The sequence below is a fragment of the Homo sapiens genome, chromosome 9, assembly GCF_000001405.40.
Source record: "Homo sapiens chromosome 9, GRCh38.p14 Primary Assembly".
Classification (NCBI taxonomy): Eukaryota; Metazoa; Chordata; class Mammalia; order Primates; family Hominidae; genus Homo; species Homo sapiens.
Window position 1 is genome coordinate 106,455,690 of NC_000009.12, and position 22,817 is coordinate 106,478,506.

The 22,817-nt window shown below is 38.1% G+C and overlaps 1 long non-coding RNA gene across 6 annotated transcripts in view, besides 2 other annotated features; it reads left to right on the forward strand.

Annotated features, from left to right (window-relative positions):
* The window catches only part of LOC107987108 (uncharacterized), a 675,821-nt gene that overhangs the window by 526,709 nt on the left and 126,295 nt on the right, over positions 1-22,817 (forward strand). The window lies entirely within an intron of this gene.
* Positions 816-1,393: an enhancer, noted in NCBI's record as "OCT4-NANOG hESC enhancer chr9:109218786-109219363 (GRCh37/hg19 assembly coordinates)". NCBI's record gives its function as "activates a minimal SCP1, AML or CMV promoter by ChIP-STARR-seq in primed H9 embryonic stem cells {active_cell/tissue: H9 hESC(primed)}" and the evidence as "EXISTENCE:reporter gene assay evidence [ECO:0000049][PMID:30033119]".
* Positions 12,091-12,787: an enhancer, noted in NCBI's record as "H3K27ac hESC enhancer chr9:109230061-109230757 (GRCh37/hg19 assembly coordinates)". NCBI's record gives its function as "activates a minimal SCP1, AML or CMV promoter by ChIP-STARR-seq in naive H9 embryonic stem cells {active_cell/tissue: H9 hESC(naive)}" and the evidence as "EXISTENCE:reporter gene assay evidence [ECO:0000049][PMID:30033119]".

The following is a 22,817-nucleotide window of genomic DNA, read 5'->3' on the forward strand; positions in this document are numbered from 1 at the left end:
TATGCTTTAAGGCTTGTCTCTTATAATCAACATATAGTTTATTTTCTGCATTCAATCTGAGAAACATAGGTTTTTAATTGTAATATTTAGTTCATTTGTGCTTAATACATCACTGATATATTTGGGTTTAAATATATTATTTTTATTTATTTTCTACTTGTCCTTTTCAGTTTTTGTCTCTTTTTTTTATTGTACTAATTATTTTTAAAATTATTGTATATTCTCTTCTTTTTGCATATATACTTCTTTTATTATTTTTTAGTGGTCATCTTACAGATTTCAGTATGCATCGTTGGCTTATTAATGTCTCTCTTAACTTATATCATTTCCTGAACAATGCAAAAATTGAACAAAACTTTAGTTCTATTCACTCTCTTTCAATCCCTTTCCTGTTGAAATATACTTTACTCATGCTTGTTTTCATTTTTCCTGAATTATCTGCTCCCATCTGGAATAACATTTCTTCTGTCTGAGGAACTTTCTGTAGTATTTCTTTCAGTACGGTTTGGCCGGTGATGAATACTGCCAATATTTTTTGATGTGTGAAAATGTCTTTAGTTCACCCCAATTTTTGAGGGATATTTTTACTAGGCATAGAATTTTAGATTGGCAGTTATCTTTCAGCCAATTAAAGATTTTATTGCAGTGTTTAATACCTTCCATCATTTATAGTGAAAAGTCAGCTGTGGCTCTTATTATTGCTACTTTAAAAGTAGTATGTCTTTTCCCCCTCTGGTTGCTTTTCATTTTCTATTTGTCTTTTATTGGATGCTGTTTTTCTATGATATACCTACATATGTTTTCTTTTTTTTTTTTTAATTTAGAGAATATATTTTGCCAAGGGTAAGGACTCATGCCTGGGAGGTAAGTCTGTTCTTCCTCCAAAGATGATTTTGAGGGCTTCAATATTTAAAGGGGACAGGGTGGACACTGGGGAAAGAGGAAGAAAGTTTTTGAAGGTGTGGGTAGAGAAGAGACACACAGTTGCATTCTTTTGAGTCTTCGATCAGCGTTTCACCAAATACATGATTTACATGTGAAAGTGAGTAGAGGAATAGTAACTTCTGGCTTTGTCTAGCTCAATGAATCTGCATTTTTAAATCAGAGGAAGTAATCAGATATGCATTTCTCTTAGGTGAGCAGAGGGTCGACTTAGAGTTCTGTCCTTTGTCCCATACCTTTGAAGGTAAGCTAACAATTTACATCGTCAGGGTAAAATTCAACAGTACCATTTTAGGGTAAAGATCTTGAAGTACACAAGGAATTTCCTAGTGAGAAAATTGTGAAGGAGGTATATAGCTTTTTTTTTTTTTTCTTTTTGTAGCTATCTTATTTAGGAATAAAATAGGAGGCAGGTTTGCCTGACACAGTTCCCAGCTTGACTTTTCTCTTTGGCTTAGTGATTTTGAGATCCCAAGGTTTACTTTCCTTTCCCATTTCCTCCCTTTTCTTTTTAAAATAGGTCATATGTTTTCTTTGTGTTTGTCCTACTTCAGGTTTATAGGGTTCTTCGAATCTATGACTTGTCATTCCTTAACAGTTCTGGAAAATTCTCAGCTAGCATCTTTTCAAATATTGTTTCTGTTAATTTTCTCTCTTTTCTCCTCTGAGACTTCATTTGTGTGTATATTAATTTTCTTCAGCATATCCCATATATTATGCTGTTTTATATATTTTTGTTTTATTTATCTGTGCTTCAATCTGTATATTTTGTATTGACCTATGAGCTGTTTATTAATTTCCCATCTGCTTTCCTTTGTTATGTTAAAGCAATCTTCTTTTATGTTCAATCTTTGAATTTTTATTTGGTTATCTTTATAAATTCCGGTTCTTTACTAGAATTCTCCACATATTTATCTATTTTTTAACCATGGTAAACACAGCTATTTACAGTTCATGTTAGATAAGTCTAATTGCTAGATTACCTTTAGATTACCTTTAGGTTTTTAATGCAAATTATTGTCTTTTTGGGGAAGACAGGTGGTCATTTGGTCCAGTGTCCTGGCATACCTAGTAATTTTGGATTGAGTGTTGGACATTTTGTTTTAAAAATTCTGAAGGCATTGAATGATTTTCTCTTCCTTCAGAAATGATCTTTCTTCTTTTGTGTATGGATAGATTACCTCAGTCCAATCAGGGAGTAAGATAGTTTGAAGCTGTGAATGGTTTACCAGGACCCCTTCTCCTTGAAGTTTAATTATTTTACCAGCGTCGAGTCTAATGAAATCACTGTTTAGCCTTCTGACTCCTTAGAAGATGTTTTATACTATCATCTATACACACTTTGACACTGGCAAATGCCTCTAGAAGAAATTGTGCTCAGAATGCTGGGTTCAGTTTTCTGTTTCTCTTTCCACCATAATCTTGGTCCTTTAACTTCTGACTGCATTGGTAGGCCTAAACTTTGATTTTGTTTTCCTCACCAATTAATACTGCCATAATATGTACTCTTCCATTTTATTTGTTGATCCTATGTCCTCATAGCAAATGGGCAAATGGTCCAAAGAGAGAAAGTGGCAAAAATGTACATACAGTTTATCTCAGTTTCTTTCATTTCTCTCTGGGATCTTGGTTTGTCAAGCCCTGGATACCTTGGTTAATCTCCCTCAAATAGCTGTTTTTCTATCTAGCAACTGTAGATAGTTGTTCCTTGTGGCAAGGTTAGTCTGATACAGGCTACTCCTTCATGGCCAGAAATTAACATCTTGCATTTAATTTTATAATCTATGTTTTCCACCAAATGATAGATTACGAGAATGTTCTATGTTATTGAAAAATATTTTAAATGTAACCTTTAGGGGCCATGTAACATGCTACTGTAATGAATAGTCACAACTGACAATACCAATTCTCTGATATCGACTCTTCAGGATACTTCCAATTTTTTTTTTAATTATTTGAGATTATAAGAGGACTTTTTGATATGTCTCTCTAAGTAAGCTTTTTGTTTTGTATGTAGAAGATTGCTTCTGATGTATGATATAAAATAGGTACATATGGGCAACTGCTAAAATTTGTGTGCCAAAAAAATGGAAAGTTTATATGCAATAAGCAAATTCTACATTAACTTACTTCAAAGATTAATCTGTTATTCAGAAGAAATTGGTGGATTCACTATGAGTGATATAGTTTCTGGTTTAAATCTAAATTTTAATCACTTTACTACCTGATAGACCCAGGGCAAATTACTTAGCCTCTCTGAGCCTGTTTCCTCACCTCTTAAAGACAAATAATAACATGTAGCTGACAGAGTTGTTGTAATTTTTAAATAATTACCTATTTATGTGTCTATATGCACTAGAAACTCCCCAAGGACAAGGCTCAGGCATTCATTCATTTCCATTCAAAAATATTTATTGAGCAACTATGGCATGGGGCATTGTGGATATATAGGTATAGACAAGTCAAGTAAGTCTATGCTTATATGAAGTTTATGTCACAGAGATGTTGAAACAGACAATAAACAAATGTGTGATATAATTTTAGGTTATTACTAGTATTTTGAAGAAAAGCAAAGCAGAATCGAGGCTAGAAAGTGATTGTGGTGATGCTGCTACTTTGAAATAATCGTCAGGGAGTTTTCTCTGAGGAAAGAACTTTGAGTTGAGATGTATGAAAGCAAACCACGTGGAAACGTGAGGAAGAGATTTACAAATAGAGGGTACAGTAAATGCAGATGTCTAGAATAGAGAAGCTTCATAGGTTCATGAAAAAGGGAGAAAGTCAGTGTAATGGGAATGGAATGAATGAGGAGGGTACCAGGAAGGGAGGTAGGCAGGGGCCAATTCAGGTAGGATTGTGTTGGCCATGATTGATACGAAATCATTGTGGAGTTTGATCAAGGGAGACATGTGGTTTTACTTTTCCACATTCAAACATGCACTTTTGCTGGTATATGGAGAATAGTCCAGAAGGACCAACATAGAAACAGGGGCTACTGCAGTCTTCTTTATTTTAAATCCCCAATATCCAATATAATGGCTGGTGCATACTTGTGAACAATTAATTCGGGGTTTTTTTTTTTTTTTTGAAAGGACATTTGGGCTAGGGAATGTACAACAATCTCAAAACTGTTGAACTATGAGCTCACTTTTGAACTATGAGCTCACTGGTGGGTATAGCACAAAGCAGGGACAACCAGACTACTTTTTCAGTTAAGTGAGGTTCATTCAACAGCATTTTGAATAACAAAGTTCACAAATAGACAATGAATTGTCAGGATTTTCAAATAATTTTGAAAAAGAACATCAATCAATAACTATCCAATATGGCCTTAAAATTGACTGTCTGATGAACCAGCAGTAATAAACAGCAAGAGCTTCCTATTCTTGCTTCAAAGCAGGAAGAAGGAGGTTGGTAGTAAAACCCTGCTCCAGATTTCTAGCTGTGAAAAAATATGAGCATTTTTTATCATTTCAAACCTTCAAATTCTTGAGATCTCTTAAAAAATGCTTTTGTGAGTAAAACAAAGACACATTTCCTTATAAATCCAGAAAACACAGGAGCTATTAAGCTTGAGAGCCCCTTTTAAGTCACGCCATTGCCAGGACTCTAACTCAGGTTGGATACCATATGTGGCTGTTCTTAAGTGGTCACTGTAAAATGTCAGAGGTTTGAGAAATAGGTATTCAGGTGTTTGGAGAAACAAATAATCTGTACTCAGAGGTACTAGAAATAATTCCCTTAAGAAGCTTAATAATTCTCATCAATGGAATGGTTTTTGGCTTCTCTAGTATCTCTCGTAGCATTAGTCAGTGCTAATTTATTAGTAATAAATATTGACTGAACAAAATTCTGATCCAGGAATACAGCAGTAAAGTACTAGGATCTCCAGAACATTTATTCATTTGTTCATGAGAAATATTGTGAAACAATTTCAATGTATGACATACTGTGTTAGACAGTAGAAATATAAATATGAAAAAATAGTCTAGTGAGAAATCAGCCATTTTAAAAAATTATAAAAACAATGGGTTAGATGCCAGAATGAAAGATTCTGTTATAACGGATGATACAGTTAAATGGAAGTTCTGAAATTGGCCTCGGATGCTTACCAGATATATGGGTGGTATCAAGCACCTACAGAGAGAGTAGAAACCCTTGTTATATAAAGAGGGCCCTTATCTTGTCCTAATCCTTGTGCTTTTACCTTGGGCCACAGACTGTGCTCCTCCTCTCTCACTCTTCTTTACCCACTGGCTTTTGATTCTCACATGTGTATTCTTCAATATAAACTTTTGAGTGATTTCACCAAGTTCAAAAAATAACTCCATTGTGATTTTGACTGTCATTTTCTTAGTCCTATACCAAAATTTGGAAGAATTTGTACTCTTGAAATACTAAAGATAATAATAGTATAGGAGGACAATCTGCCTCCCTATTATTTAAATCTTAATTTATATTTCTCAGGGTAGTTTTATAGGTTTTGTTTACTTTATTCCTAAACATTGTTCATGAAGATTAGTCTTAGGGTGTTTTTTGGCAGGGGAGGCTCAGGATGAATTGAATACTTTTTGTATTTATATTTCTAATTAATACTGTTTGCTATATAGGGAAACTATTGAATTTTTAAAATGTATCTTATATTTAATCACTTCCTTAAATTTTCTAATGGATCTTAAATTTTTTTCAGTTGATATTCAAATTGTAGCAAAAACAACAAATGGATTTACTCCTTCATTGTTCTGTTGAATGTTCTATTTTGGCAGCCCCAATTTCCAGAACAAAGATAAAATGCCAAGGGGCTGATCCAAGGAGAAACTCTACTTTTGCCTCAGGATTTTTCAGAGCTTGTCCCAGAACTGATTGAGGCACTTTTCTTTTGTCATTGACTTTGACATGCCTAATTGCTCCTTTTCAGTTGAGAATGACTGTACCATTAGCTATGGAAGGTCTATGTCTAGTATGTGCCGGGACAATGGCTGCCACCTTGACCTACAAATTCTAGTCAAGTGTTCTTCCCTTTACTCCCTTTCTCCCAAACTCCTGGATTCAATAGACATTTTCTCAGCGCCTATCACTGTAATGAGCCAAGTCCTAAGGCTTTAAAGATGTTAGATCTTACCTTGAAGGTACTAACAGCTAAGGACAGCCAATGGTATTTCTCTTGTGAGTTCCATACAACATGTACATCCAACCACCTGATTACCATCATCTCTTAAATTTCCCACAGAAATCTCAAACCTAATATTCCTATAACAGAAATCTTGATTCTGTCATCAAACCCACTCCCCTTCTTTATACATAATACCAACTTACATTATGTTGTTCAAGCAAGAAACCTGGAAAATTTTCCTGATTTCTTCATTCTCTTCATCAACTTCCCACTCTCATTCCATCCGTCTGCAAGTACTGTTGAGTTAATACCCAACATGTTTTTAAAATCTATCTGCTTCTCTTTATCTATACTGTCACTACATTGGTTCATGACACAATAATCTCTTGCTTGAATTACTATACCAGCCTCCTAACTGGTTGCTTCACTTCCATGTCTACCCAGCATGATTTCATCATCCAATAACAGCCATATACATTTTTTTTAAACTTAGACTTAAATTTCATCATTCCATCACTGCTTTAAACATTTAAAGGTCTTGGTAATTTCACTAAAGTATAAATCTTTTACTATAGTCCAGGGTCCTCTGTGAACTTGTCCTTGCCTATCACTCCATTTCATCTCACATTACTTTTCCTTTCCACGGTACGCACCCCAGCTATACTGGATTTTCCTCGGTTCTTCAAACAGGCCTTTGCAGATACCATTCCATCTGCCCAGATTGTCTATTTCTCTACTTGTCACATGGCTAATTGCTTCTCATCCCTTACATCCATAGTCTTCAAATATTTTTGATTATCATGGGGCAAAAACATTGAACCTGGCCAGGTGAGGTGGCTCCTGTCTGTAATCTCAGCACTTTGGGTGGCCGAGGTGAGTGGATCACTTGAGGTCAGGAGTTCGAGACCAGACTAGCCAACATGGTGAAACCCCATATCTACTAAAAATACAAAAAAATTAGCTGGGCATGGTGGTGGGTGCCTGTAATCCCAGCTTCTCGGGAGGCTGAGGCAGGAGAATCGCTTGAACCTGGGAGGCAGAGTTGCAGTGAGCCAAGATCATGCCATTGCACTCCAGGCTGTGAAACAGAGCAAGACTCCATCTGAAAAACAAAACAAAACAAACAAAAACATTGAACCTGTACTACTAAATTAACTATATTTATTTATTTATAATATATATACAAGTACTCCTTTGCTAACATATTATTTTCATTATGAAATATACACAAATATAGATGCATAACATAAGTATTAAAGATAAGATAATATTTAAATAATTATTTTGCTTCATTAATAATACATTGTTAAGGATATTTGGTACAAATTTATGTTTTAAGTCATGTACATATGACTATCATTTCACTCCATAAAGAAGCATAAGAAGATCTTATACTAAAAATAGATGTCTCAGTTGCTGTTTTATTGTTGCTTGGATTTGCCTTATTATGATTATTTTTTATCCATGGTTTCTTTGGAAGAAACTATTAAAGCTGTCTGTCAATTTTGACAGTCTTCATTTATTGAAAACTAGATAATATAATCTGAAAATTTGCTTAACCAGGCATTTACATATACTGCTATACATAGCGTTATGTATTACTATCATGGAAAGAGAAGGAACAAGTGAGGTGCTGCTGTCTTTTTTCTCCCTCAACATTGTGGAATTCCATTTTCTCTCTCCAGAGACTCAAACCGTGTGACATGTGGTCACATGAAAAATCCTGAGGCAAAAGTAGAGTTGCTCCTGGGATCAGCCTCTTGGCCTTTTATCTTTGTTCTGGAAATTGGGGCTGCCAAAATAGAACATTCAACAGAACAATGAAGGAGTAAATCCATTTGTTATTTTTGCTACAATTTGAAATGTGTAACATGTGGTCACACGGTTTGGTCCCACAGATGACATATGACATCTGACAAATGCATAGGGAGGAAAAAAGAGAGATAGAGAGAGAACATCGGTAGATATTAGTAGAATTTAACTTCTTATTTTTTGATTTTAAAAATATCAATTGAGGTTAACATTTTTTCTACATCTTAGTAGGTCTCTGACACAGTCTTTTGTCAGTGAGTCCTCTTTCTGGAGACCACTACTTAATTTATCAGCTTAAATGTTACCTCCTCAAGATGCCTTTCATGACCACCTACCTGAAGCAGGTCCTGTTATTCCTGCTGCATGTGCTTCTTTACAATTATTATGATATTTATGCATATATATTTTTGTCTATAATATGCAGTTGACCCTTGACCAACATGGATTTTTATCCACTGTAGGTCCACTTACACACAGATCTTCTTTCATCTCTCCCACCCCTGAGACAGCAAGGCCAACTCCTCTTCTTCCACCTCCTCCTCAGCCTACTCATCGTGAAGACAATAAGGAGAAAGATCTTCATGATGATTCACTTCCACTTAATGAATAGTAAATACATATCCTCTTCTTCATGATTTTCTTAACATTTTTTCTCTAGCTTACTTTATTATGAGTACAGTATAGAATATATATTACATACAAAATATATATTAATTGACAGTTTTTGTTATTGGTAAGGCTTCCAGTCAATAGTAGGCTATTAGTAGCTAAGTTTTGGGGAAGCCAACATTTATACATGGATTTTTCATGTTCATAGGATCAGCACCCTTAACCTCATGTTGTGGAAGGGTTAACTCTTTATTTTTATATTTATGTTATTTAAACATTTATAATCATTTAATTGTCTGCCAGCTTATTTTTGTTTGTTTGCAGACACCACAATAACAGAAAGACTCCATTTTCTTTTAATATTTATCCCCAGCCATCAATACAGTTTGGGTCTCTGTAAATATGTATGAAAGTTCAACAATTCTCAATTGCTGTTTGATGATATGTTGATCATGATGTGAATAATTGTAAGGTAAATGGCAAATCATTTGTTATTAATACAATTTAAAGAAATATCACTTGTAAATGGTTTTTAATTTTAATTAGGAAGAGCTGAAGGTAGCTCTATAATAATATTACTTTTGGTTGTATTCACGTATCATATCCAAAATGGAGGAAAATATGTAGAATTTCACCTGGTGCCAGAAGAAGAGTGCATCATCTAGAGCTCATTTTGGGTGTATCCCATCTCATTCTTTGTAGTCAAAGTAAACTTCATCTTTCCTGCACATCATGGGGCAGCACAGGTTAAGAATCGGTGACCACGGGTGCCATGGCTCACTTCTATAATCCCAACACTTTGGGAGGCCTAGGCGGGTGGATCACTTGAGGTCAGGAGTTTGAGACCAGCTTGGCCAGCATGGTGAAACCCCGTCTTTCCTGAAAATACAAAAATTAGCCCGGTGTGGTGGCACATGCCTATAGTCCCAGCTACTTGGGAGGCTGAGGCAGGAGAATCTCTTGAACCCAGGAGGTGGAGGTTGCAGTGAGCTGAGATGGCACCACTGTACTCCAGGCTGAGTGACAGAGTGGGACTCCATCTCAAATTAAAAAAAAGAAATTGGTGACCAGTGGGCACTGTGTTGGGCACCTAGAATGGCAGCTTCTTAGGAAGCTAAGGCACTAGAATCGCTTGAGCCCAGGAGTTTGAGGCTGCAGTGAGCTATGACTGTGCCTATGAATAGCCACTGCACTCCAACTTGGGCTGCACAGTGAGACCCTGTCTCTAAAGGAAAAAAAAAAAAAAAGAGATAGTGATTTACAGAGAGAGACATATGTACAGTATGGTCCATGACAGATAGAAGTGTGGATGAAGTGCTATGGAAAAAACAGAAGTATCCCCTAATCGCTTTTTGTCTCAGCAAATCTCAGTGGAGGAAATGCCTTAGAAATAGACAGACCTTGGTTCTAGTCCTGTCTCTGTAATCTACTAGTGGGATGTCCATGCACACAGCTTTTATACTCTGAGCCTCAGTTCCCACGTATCCAAAAATGACAATAATAAAATTCCTCAAGCCCTCCTGGCCTCAGAGGATTGCCATAAGAATTAAATGAGGCAGTCTGTAAAAAAACAGTTGGGTAACCTTAAAATAATATATAAATGTTTTAATCAAAACTGTTTTCAGTTGCCCCACTGAGCTAAATTCAGGTCAATTTAAGGAATATTTTATGAGCATTTATTATGTTTCAGACATTATGCAAAGAACCTGGGACACAGAGTAGACATAGACCCTACCCTCAAGCTCTACCTTCTAGTGGGAGCAAGAGACACATGTACAGATAAATATAACAGAATGTGATCCATGCAATGAGAGACATGTATTATTATAGTCTAGAACAAAGAGAAGGGAAACAAGACTGATGAACTCTGTTGTGTTGGAAGGATTTAAGCCTCAATGAAAGTTCATAAGGGAAGAAAAGTCTGAGCAGTGTTTTGAAGACATTTGGGAATAGCGGAAGGGTTTCCAGGCAGAGGAAATAGTAGGTGTCAAGGGATAGAGCCCTGAAGGCTTGGACCAGAATTTTCTTTCTCCTTTGTGTGTGTGTGTGTATGCGTGTGTGCATGTGTGTGTGTGCGTGTGTGTGTGTCCCTGTGTACATTCACAGGAAAATGGTAGATAAGATGGCAAGTAATATAGTTTGGATATGTGTCCCTGCCCAAATCTCATGCCAGCTGTAATCTCCAGTATTGGAGGTAAGGCCTGGTAGGAGGTGATTGGATCACAGTGGGATAGATTCCTTATGAACGGTTTAGCACCATCATCTTGGTGCTGTTCTCGCAATAGTGACTTCTCACAAGATGTGGCTGTTTACAAGTGTGGAACCTCATGCTCTCTCTCTTGCCCCTGCTCTGCCCTGTGAGATGTCAGCTTCCCCTTCACCTTCTGCCATCATTGTAAGCTTCCTGAGCCCTCTCCAGAAGCCGATGCCAGCACCATGCTTCCTGTACAGCCTGCAGAACCATGAGCCAATTAAACCTCCTTTCTTCAAATTACCCAGTCTTAGGCATTTCTTTATAGCAATGCAATAAACATTAGACTGGCCTAGCATAAGAGAATCTCAGAAGCTCTCTGTGGTTCCAGAATAAAATAAATGCAAGAGAGGTCGCAGATCAGACAGGAGCAGTAGAGGGAGTTTGAGAGGTTGGGAAAAATATTACTGACTTATCCATAATAAGTATTTAGGCCTGTTGGTGCATTTGCTTACAAACTCTGGTCCCTTTTATTATTAACTCCATTATCCAGATGAAGAAACAGATTAAGTAAGGGTAAATGGCTAGCCCAAGATCACATCGCTAATAAACTGAGGAGCCTGGATTCACACCTGGCTCCAGGATTTGAACCCAGGTGCTTATTCTCTACCGAGAAGGCTGAGTTAAACTACAGCCAGCATTTAAGACCTGCTTTAGTATGTGGGGAAAGTCATATGACCCCAGATCATTGTAAACAAAGTAGCAGAGTTCATTTTCATCCCTACCATGCCAACTTCTGGAAATGTTTTTCTTTTCTGATCCCTGACCGGGTCCTCTTAACCTTGCATTACAAAGTCGTGTTTCTCTGTGCTCTTCCAAATGGAGCTGAGCCTTTCAGCCCAAGAGGAGACACGGGCTTTTTTCCTTCAATAAGCTCATGAGCCAAATTGCTAAGAGCTTCTTTCTCCTTTCCATTACTGAATGCAGCATTGCTAATTGACCAGGGGAAGTTCTATGAAGACCAAGTTTACAAGCTCACTTCCTGTAACATTCCCCACCCCACCCCCATTCCCTTGCAGGCATCAGCCTGGAGCTTGGAGCCCCCTCCCCTTGGAATCCAGGCAGCCAGAGCTGTGGAAACCTATAGGGTTCCCTCTGAATCTGGTCTTTGCACAGTAACAACCTCATTGAGTTGCGACCTTGCCTGCATAGGTCACCATGTGATGAACCTATGATTAACCTTATTCTCAAATCAGAATTTTGATCTAATCTCAGGGGCGGCATGGTTAACACGTATGGACTTTTTTTTCTGTAGAGCTGGAGATCTGAAATGTAACAGCCTCAGCTAAGCCAAGCACCAGAGGAAAACCGCAGAGTTCATGTTACATATGTTAGGCTTCGTGTGTGTGTGCTGCAATTCTCAACAGGCTCAGGCTGACCTTGGGTGGTGGAACAGCTACCTCCAAAGAAGGCTCTTCTCTCCCATGGCCTTGCCATGCAAAGGACACAGACACAGCAGTGTGTATTTTGCTTGGTTGTACTGGAGCATAATCACAATTTGTAGGCAGGCTGGAAGTGGCCACCCCAGAGCTGAGAGCTATGGAGAACATTCATTTCTGCCACCGCAGACAGCTCAGCCACAGATATGGATGATGAAAGGGAACTTGGCATTGACCTTGCTGCTTTTCAAGGAGCAGATGGGACCTGGAGTCTGGTTAGCAAAGAAAAATGAACTGAGCCTCCTTGATAGTATTTGAAGAACAAGAGCTGGACCCAACTGTCTCTTCCTCCCTGGTGTGTGTGTGTGCATGTGTGTGTGTGTGTGTGTGTGTGTGTGTGTGCATGTGCCTATGTACACACACCAGCTGTGTCTGACGTGCAAGAGAAAGACAAACACCCTTGTCCATGCTGGAGCTCCCTATTGCACATTTGGCATTTGACTGACATATAAAACTCCCATGGAGATCAAAAGGACAGTAACTCAGAATGCATAAGAGATTTTTGCTATTGATAAGAAGACAGGTGGAGAGAAAAATATTATTGACACTAATTTTCAATCTTTCTATTATTATTATTATTATTATTGCCCAGAGGAATGGAGTCTGTCTCAAGTGAGTGATGCAAGAGGTGAAAAATAAAGCTGATGTAGCCAACTGTATGAGACACACCCTGCCCAGCTCATCAGAGTGTACCATTGTCCTTTTGTTTTTGCTCATGTTGAATTCCCCTGCCAGAAATGTTCTTACTCTCCCATTTCCCACCTGGTAAATTCATTTCATCTTTCAAGTCCCAGTTGGACTTTCACTTCCTTCAAAAAGCCTTCTCTGATTTTTCTCTACCCAGCACAAGTCATTTGTTTCTCTTGCTTGTAAATTTCTTGAGTGGGGGAAGGCTAACACATAGTAGATACTCAATGATAATACAGTGGACTGAGCACAAACCTGGAAACAGGAGGGCCTGAGCTGAAATCCAGGCTCTCCCACATTAAATCTATGAGACTTTGGGGATGACTTATCTCAGCCTCAGTTTCCTCCTATGTAAACCTGAGTGGTAATGACTACTTCATGGGATAAGTGGGAGATTAAATGAGCTAATGTACATAAAGAGCCTAGCACATAGTAGGTAATTTATTATATGTGGTCTCCTTTGCCCAGATGCTGTATCTGATTCATTTTTTGTATTGTATTTTTATAATTTATGTCACATTTTCAGCATGAAATTATTTTTTAAATTTCAACAGCTTTAGGTGTACAAGTGTTTTTTGGTTGAACTGTATAGTGGTACCCTCTGGGGTTTTAGTGCACCCATCACCAAATAGTGTCCATTGTACCCAATATGTAGTTTTTCACACCCCATCCTGTCTCACCTTTCCCCCTCTGAGCCTCCGATGTCCGTTCTACCACTCTGTATGCCTTTGCACACCCATAGCTTAGCTCCCACTTAAAAGTGACAGCATATGTTATTTGATTTTCCATTCCCGAGTTACTTCACTTTGAATAATAGCCACCAGCTCCATCTAAGTTGCTGCAAAAGACATTATTTAGTTCTTTTAAATGGCTGAGTAATATTCCACAGTGTGTATATACCACATTTGTTTATCCACTCATTGGTTGATGGGCACATAGGTTGATTGCACATCTTTGCAATTATGAACTGAGCTATGACAACCATATGTATGCCGGAGTCTTTCTGATATAATGGCTTATTTTCCTCTGGGTAGATACCCAGTAGTGTGATTGCTGGATCAAATGGTAGATCTAGTTTTATTTCTTCAAAAAATCTCCACACTGCTTTCCATAGAAGTTGTGCTAATTTACATTCCTTCCCAGCAAAGTGTAAGTGTTCCCTTTTCACCACATCCACTCCAACATCTACTATTTTTGACTTTTTAATAATGGTCATTTTGGCTGGGGTAAGGTAGTATCTCACTGTGGTTTCAATTTGCATTTCCCTGATGATTGGTGACACTGAGCATCTTTTCCATATGTTGTTGGCCATTTGCATGTCTTCTTTTGAAAAATGTTCGTGTCATTTTCCCACTTTTTGATGAGATTATTTGTATTTTTTTCTTAGTAATTTGAGTTCCTTGTAGATTCTGAATATTAGTCCTTTGTCAGATGTTTAGTTTGCAAATATTATGAAATCTTGATCAATTATAGTAAATAGGAAATTTTTTGCTACTTAAACATTCTAAGGCATTGAAATCAAGCAATAATAAAAATAATAATGCTAATGAAAATAAGAGCAATCACTAATGCACAAAGCCTTATTCTTTGCACACGTTATCTTATTTTATCTTCATGTTATCTCCGGAGGGAGATATAATTAGTCCTACTTTGCAGATAAGGAAATTGGGTAGTGATGAAATAAGATTTTAAATATAACCCCCGAGCTTAACCATCACTTAGCGATTCTCAGCCATGACTGCACTAGAGTATCATGAGAAACTTTTAAAAATGCCAATGCCTGAACCTCAGTATCAGATTTAGACTCAATTAGGCTACAGTGGGGCCCAGGGATTGTTTTTGAAAACACCAGGTGATTCCATGTGCCACCAGGAGTGAGAACTTCTGACATCAGGCAATTGCGGGAGTACAAAGTAGAGTTTTGTATCTCAACATATGATGTGGTTTGGATTTGTGTCCCCAACGAAATCGCATGTCAAATTAGAGGAGGGGCCTGGTGGGAGGTGACTGGAGTATGGGGGTGGGTTTTCCCCTTGCTGTCATCATGATAGTGAGTGAGTTCTTATGAGATCTGATGGTTTAGAAGTATGTGGTACTTCCCCCCTTTGCATTCTCTCTCTCTCTCTCCCCTGACACCATGTAAAGAAGGCTTGCTTCTTCTTCACCTTCTACCATGATTTTAAGTTTCCTGAGGCCTCCCAGTCATGCTTCCTGTTAAGCTTGAGGAACTGTGAGCCAATTAAACCTCTTTTCTTCATAAATTATCCAGTCTCAGATAGTTCTTTATAGCAGTGTGAGAATGGACTAATACAGAAAATTGGTACTAGGAGTGGGGTACTGCTATAAAGCTACCTGAAAATGTGGAAGCGAGTTTGGAACTGGGTAGAGGGTAGAGGTTGGAACAATTTGGAGGGCTCAGAAGACAGGAAGATGTAGGAAAGTTTGGAACTTCCTAGAGACTTGTTGAAGGGTTTTGACCAAAATGCTGATAGTGATACAGACACTGAAGTCCAGGCTGAGGTGGTCTCAGACGGAGATGAGGAACTTATTGGTAACTGGAGTAAAGTTATTGCTATGCTTTAGCAAAGAGACTAGCAGCATTTTGCTCCTGCCCTAGAGATCTGTGGACTTTGAACTCAAGACAGATAATTTAGAGTATCTGGTGGAAGAAATTTCTAAGCAGCAAAGCATTCAAGAAGTGACCTGGCTGTTTGTAAAGGTGTATGCTCATACGTGTGAAGAAAGAGATGGTCTGAAATTGGGGGAAAGTCACTTTCCTTTTGACTCTTCAGCCAAATGGACAGAAGTCAAAGCCAGAGATGCTGCATCCCTCATCAGCTGGAAGGGGCAACTATGACCTGGGGTAGAGATAAAGGCAAAGTTAGCAGCCAAGATCAAACAAAAATTGAACCAGGTGCTTGGAGCAAAGCAGAAGCAAAGGACATTTGCCAAAATTTGAACTGCAATGTTAAAAGCTCATTTTGGTGGTCAACGTCTCTGTCATAGCAGAGTGGAGCACTCCAAGCAGAGGGGAGAGCATGAATTAGGTCTAGGGCTCACTAGAGTCAGAAAATAGAGTGTCAAGCTATTTTCACTATCAGAGAGCTGAGCTTCATCAAGATTATTGTATTTATCTTAGAACAGGAGACTCAAAACTTGTAATAGCACTATAGGTGTGTCTGATTCCAGCATAGAGGAGCAGAAGTCTCTTCCTTCCACATTCTAGACTTAGCACTTGGAATATACTCTTTTATCAATTGAACTGTCCAGCTGCATTCACAAGATTAGACTATCCTAAGGCTACATAAATCCTGAGCCCCAGCTAATTTTCATGTTGTCACATTCCTCAGTGATACCAGTGTGTTTCTGGGTTCCATTACATGCAATTTCTTTTGGATCCATACCATATTTATGTGCCATGTGTTGGACAGTGCATGTCCCCAGAGAGTCTCAGAGAGGTCCTGACTTGTCCAAAGTGGAAAACCCTAGACCCAGGTCTCAAATCCGTGGCCTCATGTTCCAGTGTCATGATTATTTTGTTCTAGCAAGGAGGATCTATTAGCTTCAAAATCCATGCCTTGATTTCTGAAGTGACAGGTATAAGCAGTGCTGCTTAATCCTGATGCTTTGGCTGGAGAATACTGATGTGTGGGGTCAATCAGTTACTTTTGACAGATCCAAGCTTTTTTACTCCAAGCAAGCCTGTTTCTGATCTTTGGTGGCTTGGAATGAGGTAGAACTGTTATTATTATTATTATTATTATTATTATTATTATTATTATTATTATTATACTTTACATTCTGGGATACATTTGGAGAACCTGCAGGTTTGTTACATAGGTATACACATGCCATAGTGGTTTGCTTCACCCATTAACCCATCATCTACATTAGGTATTTCTCCTAATGCTATCCCTCATCTAGCTCTCCACCAACTGACAGGCCCCAGTGTGTGATGTTCCCCTTCCTGTGTCCGTGTGTTCTCATTGTTCACCTCCCACTTATGAGTGAGAACATGTGGTGTTTGGTTTTCTGTTCCTGTGTTAGTTTGCTGAGAATGATGGTTTCCAGCTTCATCCATGTCCCTGCAAAGGACATGAACTCATCCTTTTTTATGGCTCACAGTATTCCATGTGATATGTGTGCCACATTTTCTTTATTCAGTCTATCATTGATGGGCATTTGGGTTGGTTCCAACTCTTTGCTATTGTTAACGGTGCTGCAATAATCATATGCGTGCATGTGTCTTTATAGTAGAATGATTTATAATCCTTTGGGTATATACCCAGTAATGGGATTGCTGGGTCAAATGGTATTTCTGGTTCTAGGTCCTTGAGGAATCACCACATGGTCTTCCACAATGGTTGAAATAATTTACACTCCCACCAACAGTGTAAAAGCATTCCTATTTCTCCACATCCTCTCCAGCATCTGTTGTTTCCTGACTTTTTAATGATCGTCATTCGAACTGGCGTGAGATGGTATCTCATTTTGTTTTGATTTGCGTTTCTCTAATGACCAGTGACAATGAGCTTTTTTTCATATGTTTGTTGGACACATAAATGTCTTCTTTTGAGAAGTGTCTGTTCATATCCTTTGCCCACTTTTTGATGGGGTTGTTGTTTTTTTCTTGTAAATTTGTTTAAGTTCTTTGTAGATTCTGGACATTAGCCCTTTGTCAGGTGGATAGATTGAAAAATTTTCTCCCATTCTGTAGGTTGCCTATTCACTCTGATGATAGTTTCTTTTGCTGTGCAGAAGCTCTTTAGTGTAATTAGATCCCATTTGTCAATTTTGGCTTTTGTCACCATTACTTTTAGTGTTTTAATCATGAAGTCTTTCCCCATGCCTATGTCCTGAATGGTATTGCCAAGGTTTTCTTCTAGGGTTTTTATGATTTTAGGTCTTATTTTTAAGTCTTTAATCCACCTTGAGTTAATTTTTTATAAGGTGTAACAAAGGGGTCCAGTTTCAGTTTTCTGCAAATGGCTAGCCAGTTTTCCCAACACCATTTATTAGATAGGGAATCCTTTCCTCATTGCTTTTGTCAGGTTTGTCAAAGATCAGATGGTTGTACATGTGTGGCATTATTTTTGAGGGCTCTGTTCTGTTCCATTGGTCTATATATCTGTTTTGGTACCAGTACCATGCTGTTTTGGTTACTGTAGCCTTGTAGTATAGTTTGAAGTCAGGTAGGGCGATGCCTCCAGCTTCGTTCTTTTTGCTTAGTATAGTGTTGGATATTCGGGCTCTTTTTTGGTTCCATATGAAATTTAAAGTAGTTTTTTTCTATTTATGTAAAGAATGTCAATGGTAGCTTGATGGGGACAGCAATTACTTTGGGCAGTATGGCCATTTTCATGATATTGATTCTTCCTATTGATGAGAATGGAATGTTTTTCCATTTGTTTGTGTCCTCTCCTATTTCCTTGAGCAGTCGAAGAGGTCCTTCACATCCCTTGTAAGTTGTATTCCTAGGTATTTTATTGTTTTGGTAGCAATTGTGAATGGGAGTTCACTCATGATTTGGATCTCTTTTTGTCTATTATTGGTGTATAGGAATGCTTGTGATTTTTGCACATTGATTTTATATATTGAGACTTTGCTGATGTTGCTTATCAGCTTAAGGAGTTTTGGGGCTAAGACGATAGGGTTTTCTAAATATACAATCATGTCATCTGCATACACAGACAATTTGACTTCCTCTCTTCCTATTTGAATACGCTTTACTTCTTTCTCTTGCCTGATTGCCCTCATCAGAACTTTCAATACTATGTTGAATAGGAGTGGTGAGAGAGGGCATCCTTGTCTTGTGCCAGTTTTCAAAGGGAATGTTTCCAGCTTTTGCCAATTCAGTATGATATTGGCTATAGTTTTGTCATAAATAGCTCTCATTAGTTTGAAATGTGTTCCATCAATACCTAGTTTATTGAGAGTTTTTATCATGAAGGGCTGTTGAATTTTACCAAAGGCATTTTCTGCATCTATTGAGATAATCACGTGGTTTTTGTCATTGGTCTGTTTATGTGATGGATTATGTTTATTGATTTGTGTATGTTGAACCAACCTTGCCTCCCAGGGATGAAGCCAACTTGATTGCGGTGGATAAGCTTTTTGATGTGCTGCTGGATTCAGTTTGCCAGTATTTTATTGAGGATTTTCGCATCAGTGTTCATCACAGATATTGGCCTGAAATTTTCTCTTTGTTGTGTCTCTGCCAGGTTTTGGTATCAGGATGATGCTGCCCTCATAAAATGAATTAGGGGGTAGTTCTTCTTTTTCTGTTGTTTGGAATAATTTCAGAAGGAATGGTACCAACTCCTCTTCATACCTCTGGTAAAATTTGGCTGTGAATCTGTCTGGTCCTGGGCTTTTTTTGGTTGGTAGGCTATTAATTACTGCCTCAATTTCAGAACTTGTTGTTGGCCTATTCAGGGATTCGACTTCTTCCTGGTTTAGTCTTGGGAGGGGGTATTTGTCCAGGAATTTATCCATTTCTTCTAGGTTTTCTAGTTTATTTGCACAGAGGTGTTTATAGTATCTTCTGATGGTAGTTTGTATTTCTGTGGGATTAGTGGTGATATCCCCTTTATCATTTTTTATTGTGTCTATTTGATTTTTCTCTCTTTTCTTCTTTATTAGTCTGGCTAGCGGTCAATCTATTTTGTTAATCTTTTCAAACAACCAGCTCCTGGATTCATTGATTTTTTGAATTTTTTTGTGTGTGCGTGTGTCTCTATCTCCTTCAGTTCTACTCTGGTCTTAGTTATTTCTTGTCTTCTGCTAGCTTTTGAATTTATTTGTTCTTGCTTCTCTAGTTCTTTTAATTGTAACATTAGGGCATCAATTTTAGATCTTTCCTGCTTTGTCCTGTGGGCATTTAGTGCTATAAATTTCCCTCTAAACACTGCTTTAGCTGTGTCCCAGAGATTCTGACACATTGTGTCTTTTTTCTCATTGGTTTCACAGAACTTATTTACTTCTACCTTAATTTCATTATTTACCTAGCAGTCATTCAGTAGCAGGTTGTTCAGTTTCCATGTAGTTGTGCAGTTTTGAGTGAGTTTCTTAATCCTGAGTTCTAATTTGATTGCACTGTGGTCTGAGAGACAGTTTGTTACAATTTCCGTGAGGTAGAACTGTTTTTATGCAGCCTGCCTGGGTAGCCGTGCTTATATAAGTGAAAAAAACCACTATGCTATGATGTGAGTTTGGTGACTATTCAGGTAGTGCCAGGGCAGCCATAAGGGCACTGGGATAAGATGGACTAAGAACCAGCAGACTGGGAGCTTAAGTCCTAATTCTGTTGCATTAGACATGGGACCTTGGGCGAGTCAAATAATTTCTCCAAATCTCACTTGTCTTCAGTGTAGAGAATGAGTAAAATCTAAGTAGAACCTTTAAATTAGTGTAAATTAGTGTGCTGGAAAGAGTTGCATAAGTTTTTGAGTGCTACACAAATGTGAAGGTTTTTAGTGCAGACTCTAAAGCCAGTTGTCCATCTGAGTTAGAATCCTGACCTAACTTGGATAAGTTGCTTACTATCTCTGTGATCCACTTCATCTGTAAAGTGAGAGTATTAAGATATGTTCAGCATCACAGACTTGAAATCTCTGGATTGGATTATGTTTTGGATGTAAAATTTTTCAAATATTATAAAGGTAATAAAGTGTACAAACCATCTAATACCTAAAACCTTCAGAAGGTTCTGGGACAACACCATGTAATTAAACACATTAATGTTTTATTTTTCAATGAAACTTGACTATTCGTAAGTGGGATGAATAAAGACCACGAATAGCATCACATCAGGTTTGATAAGGTTTTGCTGTCAAAAAAGTTTGTACCAAACTTGTCTTTTTCTTTTTTTTTTTTTTTTTTTTTTTTGAGATGGAGTCTCACTCTGTTGCCAGGCTGGAGTGCAGTGGTGCGATCTCGGCTCACTGCAATCTCTGCCTCCCGGGTTCAAGCGAGTCTCCTGCCTCAGCCTCCCGAGTAGCTGGGATTACAGATGTGCACCACCACACCCAGCTAATTTTTGTATTTTTCATAGAGATGGGGTTTCACCATGTGGGCCCAGATGGTCTCGATTTCCTGACCTCATGATCCACTCGCCTTGGCCTCCCAAAGTGCTGGGATTACAGGCGTGAGCCACAGAGCTTTTTGGACTGTGGAATTGTAGATAATGGATTATACACCTGTACTACCTGCCATTTAGTGTAGGCATGGGGATAAAATAAGTTACTATGTGTAAACTGCTTAGACAAATCCCTGGCAAAGAGTAATTATTGAATAAATATTAGATATTATTACTTTTATTACCTTAAAGAGTAAAACCAAAAGAGAATGAGGCTTAACAGGCCCTAATGGACATTTCTCAGATTTGTATTAATTAGTGAACTAATAGAGTTGCCAGAGGGGTAATCTCTCATCCCTTGGCTGATGAGAAAATATATTTCTAGTCTGAGCTGTAGTCAGCACATAAAGGAACAACATTGTGCTTTGAGGACACATGTGTGTGCAAGTCAGAGGGAGAGAGGGAGAGAGAGAGAGAGAGAGGGGAGATTACAGGCCCAGTGTTCTGTGCACCACAGCAAAATACTAACAGTTTGCACATATGAAGTATTTTCAATTTCTTCTCATGACTTTTCTAAATTTTATCATTTGAGCTTAAATTACTTTTATAATGAGGAAAAAAAAAAGGTACATCTTCTTTCAAGCCCTCTCCTGTTTTCTTCTCCTAGAGAATTGGTTCCCAGATTCAGGCTCCCTTTTACTAGCAACCATCAAGTGACTAGCTTTTATTGATTGCCTACAATACGCCAGACACTGCAGAAAGTGCTAAGAAGTAAAAGGAAAAACCAGACATGTTGTATGAAAAATCTTCAAATCACTTCCCATTTGTGTAGCAACTTATAGTTCCTACCATGCTTGAACATAAATTCTCTCCATGGGTCTTTCTCTCTAGATTAGGGAGAGTATATATTTTGGTCAACATTTTATCAATGAAGAAACTTAGCCAAGGTCACTTAATCTATTAGCAATGAAGTTAAACTCAACTTCTGAATCACGTGAGTGGTATAGCAGCATAAATCAGTATTCCTAAGAACTTGAAAATTAGTGACACTTTGAGAAGGTAATACTGGAAAATCAAGTAGTAAATTACTGTGGCCAACTATAAGTAAAATCTTCACCTTGGCAACAAATGGTAATGGAGGCTAAAAGTTTGGGGGCCACCGAATGAGACCTTTAAAGAGTAACCTCAAAGTAGTTCAGTTTCTAAAGCTGGATATTGATGAACCCAAGAAAGAAAGCTTCAACCAAAGTCAGATGTTTGGAAGAGAGTACTAGAAACAAACAGAAGGAAGCAAAGTGGATGTGGTCTTTATGTATTCAACACAATCAAAGGGGCAAAGCTGCGAAGTTAGGGACATCAATAAGAACAAAGTCCCTTTGTTCAGATTCTATACTCACAGGTAACCTTCGGGTTATTTTTAACTTCCCAGCGAATCAGGGTATGGGCTGATATGTTCCTAGCAACAACTTTAAGTGCTTAATTTTTGTTTGGTTTCTTTTGACTTTTGTTAGAAAGAATTTGTCCCTAAGTGCCTGACTGGCTTTGACTGCACTGCCAGAGACAAATTTGGAAACCAACAAAGCAAAGATTAGTTCTTGATCCAAACAAGGTTCTATTATCTTAGACCCTGTCCAAGCATTTTGTCCACCTTCTTGATGACATCTCCACTTCTCCATGCTCTGTGCTTCATGCTGAGAGCACAAAGTTGTTCCTCCAAGTCATTCAAGTCAATGGCTCTGTTTCTTCAAACTAGATCTTCCAATCTCACACAGCTTTTTCTGGGCAAAAGGGGCTGGGCCTGCCTGCCCTTGTTAAAAGGAAGGGAATCATTCGGCATTTTGTTCTGCATTCTTCTACCCCAGATAACCCTCTCTAATTTGAGGTTGG